General features: G+C 31.5%; 1 protein-coding gene across 12 annotated transcripts in view; it reads left to right on the top strand.

Annotated features, from left to right (window-relative positions):
* The window catches only part of SYCP2 (synaptonemal complex protein 2), a 70067-nt gene extending 50353 nt beyond the window's left edge, over positions 1–19714 (top strand). For 9 of the 12 annotated variants that reach the window (XM_011528490.4, NM_014258.4, XM_017027587.2 and 6 more), the window contains 19 exons: positions 1120–1190; positions 1283–1340; positions 1793–1848; positions 2262–2319; positions 2814–2982; positions 5240–5277; positions 5730–5900; positions 7816–8014; positions 9224–9429; positions 13302–13487; positions 14360–14450; positions 14717–14872; positions 15438–15574; positions 16696–16790; positions 16893–16992; positions 17420–17478; positions 17634–17712; positions 17841–17897; positions 18897–19714. In XM_011528490.4, coding sequence (XP_011526792.1) covers positions 1120–1190; positions 1283–1340; positions 1793–1848; positions 2262–2319; positions 2814–2982; positions 5240–5277; positions 5730–5900; positions 7816–8014; positions 9224–9429; positions 13302–13487; positions 14360–14450; positions 14717–14872; positions 15438–15574; positions 16696–16790; positions 16893–16992; positions 17420–17478; positions 17634–17712; positions 17841–17897; positions 18897–18974 — 2064 coding nt within the window. In that variant the 3' untranslated portion in view covers positions 18975–19714. The remainder of the gene's footprint in view (positions 1–1119; positions 1191–1282; positions 1341–1792; positions 1849–2261; positions 2320–2813; positions 2983–5239; positions 5278–5729; positions 5901–7815; positions 8015–9223; positions 9430–13301; positions 13488–14359; positions 14451–14716; positions 14873–15437; positions 15575–16695; positions 16791–16892; positions 16993–17419; positions 17479–17633; positions 17713–17840; positions 17898–18896) is intronic. The other 3 variants (XM_047439827.1, XM_047439826.1, XM_047439828.1) reach the window with 3 other exon arrangements.

The raw sequence follows: 19898 nt of genomic DNA, 5'->3' as shown, positions 1-19898 counted from the left end.
CTCCGCCTCCCTGGTTCAAGCAATTCTCCTGTCTCAGCCTCCTGAGTAGCTGGGACTACAGGTGCATGCCACCATGCTCAGCTAATTTTTGTATTTTCAGTAGAGACAGGGTTTCACCATATTGGTCAGGCTGGTCTTGAACTCCTGACCTCAGGTGACCCACCCACCTTGGCCTCCCAAAGTGCTGGGGTTACAGGTGTAAGCCACTGTGCCCAGCCCTAGGAATGCAATTATATATATGGGTGGTGATTTAATTTATTTTGCATATATTTTTATTCAGTTTAAGGAGAATGTTACAAATGTAAGATTTATGTTAGTGGAAGCACATCTAGAAAAATATTTAAAAATGCACATTATTTGTTTGCCACACAGAGTAATGTACAAGTTTTTTTGTTGAGGTAAAATATACATATAAAATTTACCATCTTTATCATTTTTAAGTGTACATTTCACTGGTAATATATATATTTTTTAATCCCTTAGTTCCCCCCCTACTCCTTCCTACTCTTCCTGGCCTCTGATAATCACCGTTCTACGCTCTATCTCCATAAGATTCACTTTTTTAGCTCCCACTTATGAGTGAAAACATGCGGTATTTGTCTTTCTGTGTTTGGCTTATTTCACTTTACTTTGGCCTCCAGTTACATCCATGTTGCTACAAGTGACAGGATTTCATTCTTTTTTTATTGCTGAATAATATTTCGTTGTATATACACATACTACATTTTCTTTATGCATTTATCCACTGGTGGACACTTAGGTTTCAATAATGCTGCAGTAACCATGGGTGTGCAGATACCTCTTTGGTATATTGATTTCCTTTCTTTTGGATATATACTCAGTAACTTGCTGGATCATACTGTAGTTCTATTTTTAGTTTTTTGAGGAAACTTCACACTGTTATTCACAGTGGTTGTACCACCATTTGCGTTCCACCAACAGTGTATGAGGCCCACATCCTCACTAGCATCTGTTATTGCCTGTCTTTTTGGTACAAGCCATTTTAACTGAGGTGAGATGACATCTCATTTTTTGATTTGCATTTCTGATTAGTGCTGTTGAGCATTTTTTCATATACCTGTTAGCCATTTAATGATTTTTTTATAACCCTCTTTTCAGGAAAAAGTTCAGAAAAAAAGCTACAGAAAACTGAAGACTACCTTTGTTAATGTTACTTCTGAATGCCCAGTGTAAGTATTTTTTGTAATATTTTTCATTTTCTTCATATTTGAAGAGACTACACATATTTAAGTGGAGCTAATATTGCTCTTCATTTTCACAGGAATGATGTTTACAATTTTAATTTGAATGGAGCTGATGACCCTATCATAAAACTTGGAGTAAGCTAAAATACCAAGATACTTTGTATTTACTCAGAAGTTACATTGCATTTACCATGCAGTTATTACATAGAATGTTTTTAATGTGCATCCTCATATGCTTTAAAATTTTTAAGAAATATATAATAATATTTTGGATAACCAGCCTACGTATATTTAGGTGGCTTTTTTTTTTTTTAAATTTTTGTTTAGGAATAAGGTAGAGAAAAACAAGCAATTGTGGGGTAGAAAGCCTTCACTACCAAGAAAATCACCTTTCTTATTGATGAAAAAAAAAACTATTCTATTTTTAGTGTATTGTATTTTCTTTTCAAATACAAATATTGTAGTAAAGTTAATTTTATGTCAAATCTTATGATTTTGTGAAGCAAAACTAGATTTTATGTTTATTCCTTTTAATCTTTTTTATTTTGACACTGACACCTCTTTTTTTTTGTTTATTTACAATATAGATCCAAGAGTTTCAAGCTACAGCTAAAGAAGCTTGTGCGGATAGGTCAATTAGATTGTAGGTATTTTTATTAGATTAAAATATTCTGATCTTTTTTTTTCTCTTAAATATCTCCTCCCAGTCTTAGAGTTTTTTAACAAATGAGAAGAGTGAATAAAAATGCTAGTCATTATTACTCTCATTATGATTCTGTTACTTCAACATTTACTCTTTAAATTAATATGCAAATTATCACTTTGAATATTAGTTGTATATCCTAGATCATAAAGCTAAAAAGACTTAGTAGTTCTTTAATCCAATATAGTTATTTTATAACTGAGGTCAGAGAGGATAAGTGGCTTGGCCAGAATAATATAGCTAATTAGTGAAAAAGTTAAGACTGAAAACTCAGGTCTAATTGTCCATTGTGTATTACCTTAAGAAAACAAGTATGAAGGGTATTTTTTAATTAATACATATTTTTGTTTAAGGGTAGGTCCAAGGAATCATGATGAACTTAAATCTTCTGTCAAAACAAAAGATAAAAAAGTAAGTTATAATATCTCAATATGTCTATTAGAAGTAGTATTTCTCTTAATTTTTAATGTTAAAGATTATCAAAAACAAGAAAACAAAAACATTTTGATTGTTTTATTTATGCAACTATCCACCTTCCTATTATGAATTTTCTTATGGTCTTTCAGCTATTTGTAATCATCTAATAAAAGAAATGCCACGTTTAGTTTTTTTAATATGTATACTATTAGGTTATACCTCTCTGGAAATAAGTTGTTTTGATTTAACTTTGAATTAACAACATCAACACCAAAATACAAATATCATTATCTGATCTGGTTTTCCAAGTGACTTTCTTGGATAGGTTATTAATGCCATCCTAAATTAGGATGTTAAGAAATGACAAGTTAGTTTTCCTGTTTTGGGTTTTGTTTTTTTTTGTTGTTGTTGTTGTTTTGGTTTAACTTACCTTGCATGACATAATGAGATGTAGTATTTCTTCATGCATTTCAAACTTTTTTTTATAGATTATAACAAATCATCAAAAGAAAAATCTGTTTAGTGATACTGAAACAGAGTACAGATGTGATGACAGCAAGACTGATATTAGCTGGCTAAGAGAACCGAAATCAAAACCACAGCTAATAGACTATAGCAGAAATAAAAATGTGAAGAATCATAAAAGTGGAAAATCAAGTAAGAAATTATCTTTTGGATAAATGTTGCAAATGATTTTGCAGTTTATTTCAATTATTGAAAATGCTTTATATAAGCTTATTGTATTTAGACTGTTCATTACTACATACTTTCATGGATAGGACAAAACACTAGTTTTTATGTTTTTTGTTTTATTTTAGTAATACGGTTATATTTATTTTTAATAGGACCTTAGGGACACAAATTATGACTTATCATTATCCTTGGCTCATGATTTTCGTCACTTGTCTACTCATGGCCCAGTATTATCCAGTTATTTAGCTAATTATTGTGAATAATATACCAAGTACTCATGAACCCAACACCTTTAAGACCAAGGCTTGAACTTTGACACTAATCTATATATATTTACATGTATTTACATTTGTGTGTGTGTGTATAAAATAAATATATTTATATGTTTGTGTGTGTGTGTGTGTATATATATATATATATATATATATATATATATATATATATTTATTTATATTTACTAAATATCCCATCTTCTTGCTGCACCCAACACGCATCCTTTTTTAGGAATTTATATAGACACAAAAAATATATCAAAAGGAAAACAATTTTCTTCCAGATTTTTTTTTTTGGGTCTAAGTTTTCCACAAAGTATTTTCCTAGAAAGTGGCTTCTGCTTTCTCTGTGATAGTGAATCTCCTGAAGCAGTTGGTAAGAGTTTCAGGTATAAGTTTTGGCTAGAGAGAATTACCATTTTCATAGCTGAACATCAATTTCAATGTTTGCTAAAACAAAGATTTTATATGTTGCATTTTTAAAAGAAGACTTAACTCTGTGCTTTTCAACTAAATGTATATTTATTTTAAGGGCATCAGCTTTCATTTTATTTCAGGATTAAAAATAACCAGTAGTTACCTAAAAATAGAAGTGAATTTTGGCATGTGTTTAGAAATGAAGCTGAATCTTGAAATTTAGGTGAGAGGTCACCAGATACATGAGGAAGTAAAGCAGCAGGATTATCATATATAAAAGGGAGAGAAGTATGGAATAGCATAGTATATTCAGGGAATGCAGTATTGAAGTATTTGGTACATAGATCATATTTATGGGAAAATGGTGAAAGGTGAGGCTAGATTGCATCATAGTCTGAACCTTGAAGCAGCCAAAGATAAATATAGTAAGATTCACATGCCCTCAGGGAGCTTACAGTCTAGTGGGAAGATGTACAAATAAAAACATTTATAACATAAAGTAGAAGATTAGAGATCTCACGAAGATGTTAGAGGTTAGTGTCATCACTAAATATTTATAAAATTTAACTTACGAAATTGAAATTCTGTATGAATTCTTTTGTTTAAATTATTGAATAACTACAAGTTAATGTGTTTGAGTTGACTTATTGCCAAGATTAGAGGACCTCTCTTCCAAAACAGCTTTGCTTCCTTTGCTTGGATAATCTTATTTCTTAGGTTTCAGAGACTATTTGGAAAGATAACATTATGCTTGAAAGGCAAAAAGAAGTGAGACTAAATCTGCTATCAATAATATGGGTAAATCTTATTAACATTGTGATGTATGGAAAATAAATCGTAGGATATTATACAGGACATGATATTTTATAAATCTCATTATATTGTTTAGAGATTTATATCTATGTAATAAAACTTGTTTTTAAAGCAAGTAACTAAGACCTGCAGATTTCAGGACAGTAATTACCTTTTAGCAGAAGGGACACGGAGGATGGTATAAGAGAGCATACGTAAGTAGATTCAGCATTATACACAATCTGGTTCTTAAATTGAGTGGTAGATTTATAGGTGTTAACTTTTTAACTTATGCTGACATATTCTCTTATATGTTTAAAAAGTTCTATAAAATAAAGGAGAGGGAGGAAAACTGGCAATTCATATCATAAGAAACACTTTACAGTAAAAGTTATCAATTCTTGAAAATTACATTTTTGAATGAGTTTAAAAATGGTGCCAATCAGAGATGTGGTACAATTGGGCTACTAAAAAGTTCTGGGAAAGGAAAAGCTTCCAAAATAGTGTATTGTGAGGCCAGATTCTTCAGCAGAAGAGGTGAGAAGATTACGGTGTCAGGAGGGCTGGTATCCTGGTGGCCTGAGGCCACATGGAGGTTCACTTATTAAATGCTAACACATGCTTTAAAAACTTACTACTTTTTATTATTTTAATTTAAATATGCTGAAATGATGTTCTAATAAATTTAATGCCTATTCTTATTTACTGTGAAAATTTAACCTTATTTTTCTGAATTACAGGATCATCCTTGGAAAAGGGACAGCCAAGCTCTAAAATGGTAAGCCAAGAAGTTTGTGTTCAAACATCCCTTTAAAATTATTTTTTCTTGCCATATAAAAATAATTCATCATCTCATAATTTTATCCTTGTTATCAGTTATGTGTTTTATGTACCTCTTCCTTCTTTTGCACACTTTCTCCTGTTTCTTTTTAAATCATACTGGCCTTTGACTCCATTTTATTCTGTGCTTTTAGGTATTTTTAAAATCTTTTACTTCAGTTAGATAGTATATATCAGGCTTCTCAGGGACTTAATGGTAGGGATACAGAGATGGTAAAGATGATAACTGGAATGGGAAGATAAAATCCATTAATTTAAAGTATGTTAATCAAGAATCATTCTTACAAATATTTTATGTAAAACTTGTCACAGTGCCAATTTTATAGCAAATTGCTTGTATTTCTTGTACCTCAAATATTGATCTAATATTCAGGAATTTTTCTCCTAAAGACACCCAGTAAAAATATCACAAAAAAGATGGACAAGACAATTCCGGAAGGAAGAATCAGACTTCCACGAAAAGCAACCAAAACAAAAAAAAACTATAAAGATCTCTCAAATTCAGAATCAGAGTGTGAACAAGAATTTTCACATTCATTTAAAGAGAACATACCAGTAAAGGTAAATAGATACAGTTCAGATTAATTTCTAAAAGCCTCTTAAAATACTAAATATATATTTTTGTAAAAAATGTCAAATTTATCCTGTTACTTCTTAAGAGTTAACTTCTTTTATGACAAAACTTAAATAATAATTCTAGAAATTTGCCCTTAGGCAATATAATGCTAAATTTTGTAATAAGTTGGCATTTTTTTTACAAAACAGATGTCTGAATCTAGTGAAATTATAACTTGATGATAGTATCTTTGAAAGGGAGAAGTACTTAATCTTCTAAAATTAGGCTTTAATAAAGTATAGCATGGAGAAGCTGTGTGTCTGTTGAGTGAAAGCAAAATATTGGTGTCTGAGGTTCTTCCCACACACTGGCCCACCTGTCACCATCCCTGACTTCTTCCTTATGTCTCATAATGTCCAGAAACATTCCCAGTCACCTGTTTTTGAAAGCAAAGTTAAATATTTATTTATTTGTCTGGCAGTCTACCATCTATAGAAGTAATGAGATGTCAGTATAATTTCATTTTTTGTTTACTTGAATATTCAATAGTTTTCTATAACTCCAATTATGGGAAAAATATATATACTTATATTACTATTTTAGTATAGTGTATGTGTATAGTATATAAATATATGTAGTGCTTACAATGTGTCAACTGCTATATTAAGCACTTTACAGATTTAATGTCTAAAAATCTCATAAGTACTATAGGTAATTAGTACTATTAGTGTCATCCCATTTTACAACTGAGAAAATTGAGGCTCAGAGAGAAGGAATTTGCTCAAGGTCACACAACTAGGAAGTGGTAGGTCTAGGATTTGAAACCAGAGAGTCTGGCACTGAAGATAGGTTTCTGAACAGTACAGTGTGCTGATTTGACATCATAAACTTCCATCTCTTCTTGTTTGCAATCTTATCTCTTACCCAAAATGCTTTAAAGACTTCCTAACTTAGGTCTACATTTTCTATCACTTCTTCTTTTTTTTTTTTTTTTTTTTTTTTTTTTTTTTTTTTTTTTTTGAGACACAGCCTCGCTTTGTCACCAGGCTGGAGTGCAGTGGTGTCATCTTGGTTCACTGCAACCTCCGCCTCCAGTGTTCAAACGATTGTCCTGCCTCAGCCTGCCTAGTAGCTGGGACTACAGGCGCACGCCACCACGCCCAGCTAATTTTTGTATTTTTAGTAGAGACTGGGTTTCACCATGTTGGTCAGGATGGTCTCGATCTCTTGACCTCATGATCTGCCCGCCTCGGCCTCCCAAAGTGCTGGGATTACAGGCATGAGCCACCGTGCCCAGCCTTCTGTCACTTCTTAAAGGAAGTTTACCATACAAATAGTCACATGCCTTCTCAAGCCACCTCTCATCTTATCCCTCTTCAAAGGAAGACCCTAAAAATATCTCTATTGTCAGATATTCAGAGCATCAAAATGCCATTCCAAGCTTTTTTCTACCCTTCTCCAGTGTATGCCCAGAACTGTGAAATGGTCAGATAGTATAACCTGTGACTCCCAAAAAAGACCTGTGCCTCTCAACTCCCTCTGTTCTTGCGAAGTCTTCTCTATTCGCAGTATGTCTTCCCCTTTCTACCTTCTTTCACAAACTCCTTAGTATCTCAAATACTATGAAATTTAGGAATGCTTTCTAATTTTCCTAAACTGGATATAATCTTTGAACCCTCAAAGAAGGCTATTTGTATCTCTTAAGATATTTATTATAGTAAATGTATTATATTCTCCTGTGAATTTGTCTTATGGCTTCTAGTATATTAGAAAGTCTTTCACTACTCATGTCTAGGTCCTTGTTATGCCTGTATGTGGTAATATACAACATTTAATAAATATTTGAATATAATTTGTTTTATGTGTCCAAGTGTAAATATTTGTACTTGAGTATAATTTGAAAGTTATTGATACATTTAGGAGGAGAATATCCATTCCAGAATGAAAACGGTAAAGCTACCAAAGAAACAACAGAAAGTCTTCTGTGCTGAAACAGAAAAGGAACTATCAAAACAATGGAAAAACTCATCTCTACTAAAAGATGCTATACGAGATAATTGCCTTGACTTATCTCCCAGATCTTTATCTGGCAGTCCATCATCTATAGAAGTAACGAGATGTCAGTATAACTTTGTTTTTTCTTTACTTGAATATTCAATAGTTTTCTATAACTCTAATTATGGGAAAATACAATTTTAAGACTAATTTTGAGGGGTATTTATAATTATAGTAGTTAAAACTTCATTGTTAAGCTAATTAATGCTAGTAACTTGACTTTTGATAACATGGGAACAATGCTACTAGGATACTGATGTTTTTCATGTTAGGAAGTTAAAGATCAAATGCTTTAATATGGAAAATAATATATATTCACAAATTATAACTTAATCTTAAAAAAGTACTTAATTTTAATGTGCTTTTTTTTAGCTCAATATATATTTAATAACATGAGAATTTTTGGAGAATTCTGTTTTTTCTATTTACATTTCATTAACAAAAGTCCAAAGAATATCTTGCTCATTCTGTGGACCCACAGTGGATTAATACCGTATACAGTTGAGGTTATGCTTTTATTTTTAAATGATTGCTAAAGAAAAATTCATATTCTTTGGAGCTCTGGTATATGTGTATGCCTTTCTAGTATAGAAAGTATAAGTTTGCCCTTTTTATACCATTTTTGTTTCCTTGTAAGGACATTTTAAAGCATTTCTAAATGCTAATCATTTCAGTTAAAATACAAGACTTAAATCAGTTAGTATACTTCTGCTTCCTCTAAAGTAGCTATTGTGTTCTCAGTACTAAGGACCACTATGAAATTTCACATAAGCGCATACTCAGGAGATAGATGTACATGCCCTGATTCGATCTGAAAATTGTCTGAGGATTTATTTATATTAAGATTTATTCCAGCAGTAAATTTTCTAATTTTTATGTGAAAGATGTAGAGCAGATGATTTCTCAAGCCTTTTTCAATCATAAAATTTTGTGATGTGTATATATAACACAATCAGCTATGATGTCAGAATACTCAAGATAATACTTAGGTTGATCCTTATATTTCAGGTCATACTGTAGATATTTTTGTTGGAAAATGTTTTGAAAGTTCTTGTGGTTACAAGTACATTTTAAATTCAGCCATTTTGTTTTTCAGTCTTACAAATATTTTAAATATAACTTGGTCTTAATATTTTTAAAGCTATCCTTTTTTATAGCTAAGATTTGAAGATCTGACAAATTCTTAGAATTTAAATTAATCGTGCTATTTCTAAAGCAGACATCAATGATAACGCTTGCCATCTATTTTCTTTTTTATTTTGATGCAATATAGGTATAGAGAAAATAACAGAAAAGGATTTTACTCAGGATTATGACTGCATAACAAAATCTATATCACCTTATCCAAAAACTTCATCACTTGAATCCTTAAATAGTAACAGTGGAGTTGGAGGTACAATAAAGTCACCCAAAAACAATGAGAAAAACTTCCTGTGTGCAAGTGAAAGTTGTTCACCAATTCCACGACCACTGTTTTTGGTGAGAATGTATATATATTTTTCTCTTTATCAGATATATCTGAAGGTAGTAAGTTATTTTCCCTATCATCTTAATCAGATACACATTGCTTGTCTATTTAAGGTTTTGGGTTTGGTCTAGGGTCTTGGGGGAGAGGGACATAATGACAAGAGAGAGATACTTGCCAGTCTTGATGAACCTAACAGACAAATAAATGTATAGCTATACAGGAGGAAGAATGTGGTAGCAGGAGAGTACAGTAGTTTCTCATTATTTGTGGTTTCACTTTTTGAGGTTTCAGTTACCTACAGTCAACTGTGGTCTGATAATATTAAATAAGAAATTGCAGAAATAAACAATTCATATGTTTTACATTGTGTGTAATTCTGAATAGTGTGATGAAATATTGAGCCATCCACTCTGTCCCTCCTGGGACGTGAATCAACCCTTTGTCCAGAGTATCCATGCTGCTGTATACCCTACCTGCCTGTTAGTCACATAGTAGCCATCTTGGTTATCAGATCAACTGTAGAGGTATTGCAGTGCTTGTGTTAAAGTAACCCTTATTTTACTTAACAATACCGCCAAAGGGCAAGAGTATTGATGCTGACAATTCAGATAGGCCAAAGAGAAGCCATAAAGTTTTCCTTTAAGTGAAATGGTGAATATTCTGTGCTTAATAAGGAACCAAAAATAAGGTATGTGGAAGTTGCTAAGATCTATGGTAAGAATGAATCATCTTTCCATGAAATTAGGAAAAAGAAATCTGTGCATAGTATAATAGGGTGAGGTACTATCTGTGATTTCAGGAGGGTCTACTATATTTTAAGAAGAAATGATACATATAATGTGATACATAGATGAGGAAGAATGAAGAATTTCTTTTCAATATATATTTACTTTTTATATTCCTACCATTTACCTGTTAAACTTCCTTATAAACACCTAAACCAAATATTGTAATTACACTGTTTTCAACTAAATTATCAATTTACTTTGTCAACTTGTAATTTTTGTAACTAAAGTTTATTAAAGGCCATAGACTTTAAATTATGGTGAAATCTGAAAGAAGTACCTGCATTGCAGGAATAAGCCTATTCAGATCTAGAAAATGTGTGTAGTTCTAATGTGTAGAACAATTAGTAGTATCTCTTAGGAAGTGATCATTCCTGTTACAAAACTCTTACCTGTACTCTGTACAGTAATCACCCCTTATTCTCAGGGAATACGTTCCAAGACCCCCCCAATAGATGCCTGAAATGGAGGATAGCACTGAATGCTATATATACTATCTTTTTTTCCTATACATACATACCTATGATTGTTTAATTTAAACATTAACTTATAAATATGCAATTTATAAATTATTACAATGACAAAACAACAACTATAACAATACACTACAGCATCACTACTCTTGCTTTTGAGGGGCATTATTTAGTAAAATAAGGGTTGCTTGAGCACTACGATATCTCCACAGTCAATCTGATAACTGAGATGGCTATTACTTGACTAACAGGCAGGTAGCATATACAGCATGGATATGCTGGACAAAGTGATGATTCATATCCCAGGCAGGACAACCCGATGGCCAGAGATTTCATGGCACCACACAGAATTGTGCACAATTTGAAACTTATAAATGATTTCTGGAATGTTCCATTTAATATTTTTGGGCCATGGTTGAGCATGAGTTATTGAAACCCTGGAAAGCAAAACTGCAGCTAAGAGGGACCATTGTGTGTCAGAAAGATAAAAGTAGAACTATGCTGTTTAAAGTAGAGGTAGGAGATCTAAACCCTAGATCTACCTAGCCTCCTTCACCTCCTTCTCCCAAATAATCCCCAAGGCATATTTTCAAAACTCTGAGTTTCTACAGACCACAATTTGAAACCCAGTTTCACACTAGTGAAATTCACACAAATTCTCCTGTGATCCTTTATCAATATAGTTGGCCCTCCATATCTGTGGGTTCCACATCTGTGGATTCAACCACAGACAACAATATATATTTTTAATTGTGTCTGTATTGAACATGTACAGACTTTTTTTTCTTGTCACCATTTCCTAAACAACACATATAACAACTATTTAAGAGTATTTACATTGTATTAGGTATCATAAGTAATCTAGAGATTACTTATGTATATGGGAGGATGTGTATAGGTTATATGCAAATACTGAACCATTTTATATCACAGATTTGAGCATCTTCTGATTTTGATATCCACAAGAGGTCCTAGAACCAATCCCTTTGTTTCTGTCATTCTTATTTTCCCCCGCATCCTTTAATCCCTTCAGTATGCCACCTTGCAAAATCTCCAAGCCTAGGTAATCCCCACCCACCATCTTTGATGCTACTCTGTGTTAGATGGAATTTTAACAGTTACATATTCATTGGCTGGACACTCATGAGACATTCCCCCATGCTGCCCCTTTACTGTCAACTCTTAATAAGGTGTTGGAAATTTGCTTTATATGGTAGTTGAACCTACTTACACTCTCAACACTGCTATGAGATAGTGCTCATTTCTCTACAGTTTTAACTAAGTAGATGTTATCAGTTGTTTCTGTTTTTGCCAGTCTGGTAAGCATAAAGTTGTGTCTTTAATTTGCATTTTCCTGACTCATTGCATCAATGAGTATTTTCACATGATTTTGGCCATTTTGTGAATTTCCTGTTTGTTTTCTTATTTTTAAATTGCATTGCTTGATTTTTCTTACAAATTTGTATGAGTTCTTAATATATTCTGGATATTCTTTATTCGTTGTATATAATGTAAACATTCTTTTCCTAGTATGTATATTTTCAGTTAATTACACAACTTCCCTATGACAAAAGATAGGACATAATCAAATTTACCAATCTTCTGGGTTGTTTAAGAAATCTTCCCCTAAGCTATTGTCATAAAAATATTTTCTTATTTTAGATTTGAGTCTAAATTTGACTCAAATTTTAGATTTGAGTCTCTCCAGGCTTTCTTTTTCATATGGATATCAAATTAGTGCGACATCAGGAGTGGAATAGTCTTAATTTAGTCATAGGCTGGGTGATCACATGGGCCTGGATTAGGCACCATTAGATTTTACTGTTTACTGGCCTGTTTATCTATCTCTGTGCTAATACCAGCATTGCTTTAATTGGGGTCATTTTACATTTATAGGGTGTTACATACCCCCTGCCCCACCATTCCTCAGAATTCCTTTGCCCTTTACTGATTCATATACATTTTAGAATTAGTTTGTCTAAGGGAAGAATTGCCATTTTTCAATATTGATGTTGATCTTTCTTATCTACACATGATTTCTCTCTCCACTTTTTTGTCTTATTTCCTGCAAAGTTGGGTGAAGTCTCCTACAAAGGAAATTATGCATCTTGTTAGATTAATTCTTAAGTATTTTATGGGTCTTCTTTTTGCTGTATTAAAAAAAAGACTTTTTTTAAAAATTACATTTTCTGAGTTTTAAAATTTTTATATAGAAAAACTATTGATTGTTTTATCTCCAACAACCTTGCTGAATTTTATCATGATTGTCTGCCTAGATTCTCTTGGCTTTTCTGTATAGACAGCCATATAAACTGTTACACATGAAGATTAGAACAGAAAATGCAAAAAATTCTTATTCGTGTTCTTGTTAAGGTGACTTTGACCTCTGGAGCATAGAAACTGTACTAGCAGGGATCCTTATCTACAGGTTTTGGTCATCAAAGTAATAATCCACTTGCCTAAGGATTTTTTATTTTTAGTTATGAATTGGAATTGAATTTTTGCAGTGAATTAGTAGTTTTGCAGTTTTGCTTTAATGTTTCTTATGTTCAACTCTTTTTGAAGTGGGGGGCTTTGAACAATTTTGTAACTTCTTATTGGGTTTTTGTATGTCTTCATTCATAGCCCAGACATACTCCAACTAAGAGTAATACTATTGTAAATAGAAAAAAAATAAGTTCTCTGGTACTTACACAAGAAACACAAAACAGTAACAGCTATTCAGATGTAAGCAGTTATAGTTCAGAAGAACGGTTTATGGAAATTGAATCTCCACATATCAATGAAAATTATATACAAAGCAAAAGAGAGGTAAGTGTGGGACTATAACTTATAAATTTTCCTTACACTAAGATGGTTCTTATAAGACTCAGATTACTGACCTTTAGTGGTAATTATAATATTTTAATGCTTTTCAACTGTTATTACCTGAAAATCTGATGTTTAAAGTATATAGAATGGCTTGATCATAGAAAAATATTTTTTGATAGAAGAAAGTTGAAACTTTTAAAATGAGAGTAGTAAGGTCTTAAATAGTGAGGATACCACTGCTGAACCCCGGATTGCATATTTACAATAGGCACTTTCTGGTTTCGTGAATATATAGGTATTTGGTTGAACTTCCTGCCAGCATAAAAGCCCATCCATCCATCAATAAAAATATTTTAGTAACCTGTAAAATATAGAAAATCAAGACAGAATTTTACAACTTGGAGAGGGCTGCGATTTGAGCTAGACCTAAGTGGATGGGTAGGTATATGTAGATTAAGTGGAGAAAAATCAGTAACCTATGTAAAGGTTACTAAGTAAAACCTGTATATTCAAATAGTATAACATAAGGTTAGATGTGAAAGATGTGGTTTGAAAGACGAGTAGTTTAAACTTTAGTTTTCTGTGGCTCCTCATTTCCTGACTCAAAGAAATGGAAATCCTAATAAAGAAATGAAAAGCAGGAATAGAAAAAAAAGTAGCTCACATCACAGCTATTACAAGAAGATTGAGGTCAACTTAGAATCAAGGTTAACACATGGTAAATATTAGAGATGAAAAGGAAGGGATAGAAACAATCTGAGAAAGAATTGACAGCATTTAAAATTATTGGTTTTTGGGTTTGAGAAAGGTGATAAAATGTGAATTGAAATATATTTACGGAATTTTTTTCTAATTTCTAATACGTATTTTAGGAAAGTCATTTAGCATCTTCATTATCCAAGTCTAGTGAAGGAAGAGAGAAAACGTGGTTTGACATGCCCTGTGATGCTACTCATGTATCAGGTTTGTAGTCATAGTCTTGCTTTTTAAAAAATGATTACTGAAATGCTACGTGACATTTCAACTAAAGGAATTATGTATTTTAAGTCATACCGTTATTCAACTTAATGTAAAAAGAAAATAAACTAGGTAGAATTGAATGCATAATTACCTAAAACATAATAAAAATACTTAGTGGAAACAAAGCCTTTTTAAAATAAAAGCAAGAAAATATGAGGTATTTTTAATGAAAATTGCAGCGCTTTTAACTTTCTTTAACTGTTCCTAAGGCCCCACCCAACATCTTAGTCGCAAAAGAATATATATAGAAGATAATCTAAGTAATTCCAATGAAGTAGAAATGGAAGAGAAAGGAGAAAGGAGAGCAAACTTGCTTCCCAAAAAACTGTGTAAAATTGAAGATGCAGATCATCATATCCACAAAAGTAGGTAGATCAGTAGCCTGTATCAAAATGCAGTTATTTGGAGGGTGGTTCTTATATTTTGAATGAGTCTATTTACAAAACAAATTTGTAAAGACAACTTTGGATATGTCCAAGATGGATGATGCTTTATTGCAAAGTTCACATTTATATGAATAATTGTTGTAGTAAGGGTCTTAGATGCCCATAGATCTCCCTCATCATTCTGTCACTTACTATCACATTTAGGTTAACTAGAGTATGAATTTACTGATGTGCTAGTACCTCACTAAATACCTAATAATAATGTGGAACTAGTTAAAAAGCAGTTAAAAATAATCCATAAATGTTCCAGCTTAAAGTAGTCATTTCTGCTGTAATAGCCATACCAAAAAGTTTGTTTTATAAATCAGAATAATCTGATTTTTAAATTAAAAAAAACATAAGGAACTCTTCTGCCTTTGATTTCATAATCCTTAGGTTACACATAGATTCGGAAAATAAGATAGATTTTGTTCTTAGCCTAATTACAAGGCTAAATTTAGAGTAATGCATATTTTAACTTCAGCAGATTGTTTTCATTTTTTAGTGTCTGAAAGTGTATCTTCATTATCAACAAATGACTTTTCTATTCCTTGGGAGACCTGGCAAAATGAATTTGCAGGGATAGAGATGACTTATGAGACTTACGAGAGGCTCAATTCAGAATTTAAGAGAAGGAATAATGTGAGTTATTCTTTAAATTATGATTTATACCCAATAATATAATAATATGCCACACTTTCTACTAGACCATTGGCTTGTTTGATCCTTTGGCAACAAAATATCCATTCATGAAACCAACTTTCCTTATATGTGAATAATTGGAATAAAATCTGTATATTACCCGTATTCTTTCTTTTGCTACTACTTTTTTCTCTTTTGTCCTATTTTCCTTTTCAGTTTAATGTTTTGGCTTTTCTGTGATTTTTTTTTTTTTTTTACTGGACAGTTTTCATGCCACTTTTCAAGACATTTTTTATGTCATTTAGGTGAGCATTAATGAAGATAGTATAGTGTAGTATAAAGAATGAGCAGCTGCAGTCAGAGCAATACCATTTCATTTTGTTTTACTAGTTTTGTATTATAGTTATGTAGTCTTAGTTTTTGAGGTTCCAGTGAGATAATGCAAAAATGCTTTTTAAAACAGTTTTTAATTATTAGTAATATATTTCTGCCTATCTCTTTCACATGCCTCTATTTGGAATCGATAGTTTTTTAGTTTTTTATGCCCTCCTTTGAATAAAAGATATTTTGGGCACAGGTTATCAACACCCTCCCCCCCCCCCCCCGCCCCCAGTCTTGCTTTCCTTTCTCCTATATTCAGGGTTAAAATTAGAAATTGCTTGTTTTTTCTGTTTCTTTTTTTTTTTTTTTTTTTTTGGCCCAAGGCCAACCTAATCTGAATAGAGAAGCTTTGACTTATATATTCTCCTATGTGTCTGTAGCTAGATTTATGTTTTTGTGAAAAAAATGGTTTTAAAAAATTCTGAGTGTGACTTTTAGGCTGTGTCTTTGAAGAGAATTATAACCATCAGCATTTTTGTAAATACTGTAGAGTGTGGGGTTCTTATGAAAACAATTGTGGACTCAACCCTTAGTCAAAGACCTACTGATGGAGTTAAATAAGTTCACTCAGAGCAGTGTCTATTAACACTTCAGTTTAAATAACTGAGTTTTTAATTTTTCACTTTTCCAAGTTCTTCTTAGTAATTTACATTTCGTGGAAAATTATTTGCTGTTACTGTAGTCTTGGTTAGAGTGTTATTTTGTAAAGATATTTTAACTTAAAAATGAGTATTTTTCAGATCCGACATAAAATGTTGAGTTATTTTACTACGCAGTCTTGGAAAACAGCTCAGCAACATCTGAGAACAATGAATCATCAAAGTCAGGACTCTAGGTCTGTAATAAAAATCTGTTCTGAAAACTTTTGAATGCTACATATTCCTATATTCTGAATGCTACAGTTTTTAAAATTAATCTCATTTTGTTTCTGTAATAGGATTAAAAAACTTGATAAATTCCAATTCATTATCATAGAGGAGCTGGAGAATTTTGAAAAAGATTCACAGTCTTTAAAAGATTTGGAAAAGGAATTTGTGGTTTGTTACTTTAAAAATTTTTTAAATAAGTTTAAAACCTTATTTTTAAAGAGCTATACTTGGAAAAACTTTCTTTTTTGGGAGCACATCCTAAAGCTTTTTGTTCAGAAAATAATTTAGTTTTATCTTAGATTTCTAATCAGCTTCATAGAAACACTTTTGAAGTACGAACTTAAATTTATGATGAATATCTTTGATAATGAGAAATCCTGAGAGATTTTACTTTCAATTTTATTTTAATTTGAAAGAGCATATGACATCTGGAATATTTTTAACATATAGCCATACTGTTTATTTAAATTTGTAATAATAGAAATAGAGTAATTCTACTGTTGGATTTTAATTTTTAATCATATTAAAGTTTAACTGGATTTTATTTTAGGACTAAAATATTTAGGACTAAATAAAATTTTATTAATTAATTTAGGACTTTTGGGAAAAGATATTTCAGAAGTTCAGTGCATATCAAAAAAGCGAACAACAGAGGTTAGTATGACATTCTTAATGGCTATAATCTATAAAATTAGATTTTTAAATTAATAAATTTCTATTTGAAAAATTAAAATTATATATACTATATTATAGCACTCTAATTTGAATTATTGATAAATACAAGGTTAACTCATTATTTTACTTCTTAGGCTTCATCTTTTGAAAACTTCATTGGCTAAAAGTGTCTTCTGTAATACTGATAGTGAAGAAACTGTTTTTACATCCGAGGTATAAATTTTATGCTTTTTATAGGTTACCTCTCTTGATTACAAAAAGAATTTGTTAATGTAACTTTGTCTTTGCTGTGAAAACTTTATGGTAAATTTCATGGGTGAAATATATTTACTTTTTTACAGATGTGTTTGATGAAAGAAGATATGAAAGTGCTGCAAGACAGGCTTCTTAAGGACATGGTAAGTCAACTAAGTTTGAAAATGGGATAATCATACTTTAATGTCTTTTGTTTTTGATTTTTTTGTGTGTGTGCTTTTATGTCTTTCTTTTTCTTTTGGGTTGAGAGAAAATAGTTTTAGCCCAATTACTTTTAGTTCTTTAAATAATGGGAGCATATTTATAGTGAAAGAATAGGGGTAATTTAAACAGGCCCTCCTAAGGAGTAAAAGAGAATATAAATTTGCAAATTGAAAAATTATCTGAAAGAATGATTTGTTTGCAGTTTCTAAACACTGGGTACTGCAGCAGGCGTCTGTCCTGCTGTGTCTTCTGAAGGAGAAAATATGGCAGGACAAAACTCCCAGAAAGTCTGTAGTTTAGTGGAAGAATTACTGTCTGTTTGGACAAGATGTCATTTACTTAGATTTGAGGATTAAATTAGTTTACTTTCCAGTGGCCTAGTAGACCAGCAGCTGCATTCTGGGGGGAAATGTGGATGGACCTGGGAAGGGACTAAAGGTACTGTTTTAAGTGATAATGTCTTTGGAGTTTTCTCAAAGATGAAAGGCATTTTTAAGTACACTGATCTTTGTATACACAGTATATTAATGTACTTACAAAGATAGAACCTCAATATGCTGACATAGTACAGGATCAAGATGTTGTGGCTAAGCTAGTTTAGCTTCAAGCAAACAAGCTACTTAACTAGGTTGATCCTTGTTGAAATTGTTTTCTAGACTTTTAATTTTACTCTCTTCCTTTAAAAATTGAATCTAAATTTCACTGATTTGGGGCTTTAAAAGATTAGAGCCTTCTCTCAACTGATTGTCTTGAATATCAGTAATGATCACAGAATTCTGTGGATATCTGTAGACCTGTTAGAATGCAATATCTTCATGAAAGAAGTTGTTTTAAAATGAATCACTAATAACAGCTTGATTTTTTTTTTTCTATTTTATTTGGTGGTTTTACAGCGAAAATGTGAAATCTAAGTGTGATTTTTTTTTTCTTGGCTATAGCTAGAAGAGGAGCTTCTTAATGTACGCAGAGAACTGATGTCAGTATTCATGTCTCATGAAAGAAATGCTAATGTGTGAAATCTAGTTTTTATCACCATACTTTATCTAATTATTATTCTCTGTATATAACTGAGGAAATAAGAATAGTCCTACAAAGAGAAAAATATACATGTCACCGAAGCAAGTGTACCCTTTATAGGAACCCTCAAATTAAAAAAAAATGTCTTTTAATGGATGAGAGGGAACCACTATAACATGAGTCCAAGCCCAGAAGACTTCTGTCTATACAATATTTTTTTTTAATTTTGGAGATAAAAGCTTTAAGAAACTTTTTGAGTTAATTATACTCATAAAATGAGTTTCTTTAATAAATTAAATTTTATTGTGTAAAATGTATTATTACATAAAATGTGTTTTTGAATCAATGCAGTTTGGGGATGAATATAATTAAAATATGTTTAATAACTTAGAATTCAACTAATAAAAATTTAGCCACACTTACAAGGGGGAGGAAGTCCCTAGTTTAAAATGTATAACTGAGTGGTAGATCAGTACTTTCAGCACACTGTTGGAAACATTTATTCAGATATGGCTCTAATGTATTAGGAAGCACTAAATGGCCTAAAAAAGCTACTACATTGCCTAAATATGTTAATTCAATATAGAAGTCCTATTTCATAACCAGGCTGTTTGACAAATACTTTTAATCTAGTAGTCATTGTAATATCTTGCTAGATTAATTTATAAAAATGAGTATACATTTGATTTGCTTTTAATGAAGTTGAAATAAATGCTTATGTCACTTGAATAAATATAAATCATTATATTCCTATTTTGTGAACATTGGGTATCTGAAGAAGGATATTTATTTGATCCAAAGTATAATGCTAAGTAGCTTTACTATCCCTTGTCTATTTAATGGTAGCAGAGTATTATTCAAAAATAATACCAGTAATTAAACAGTGGGAAAACTGGCTTCTTAAAACCCTTCTCATTTTGGTC

Source organism: Homo sapiens, chromosome 20 (genome assembly GCF_000001405.40).
Source record: "Homo sapiens chromosome 20, GRCh38.p14 Primary Assembly".
In the NCBI taxonomy this organism is placed as follows: domain Eukaryota; kingdom Metazoa; phylum Chordata; class Mammalia; order Primates; family Hominidae; genus Homo; species Homo sapiens.
This window is presented reverse-complemented; position numbering and strand designations above follow the sequence as displayed.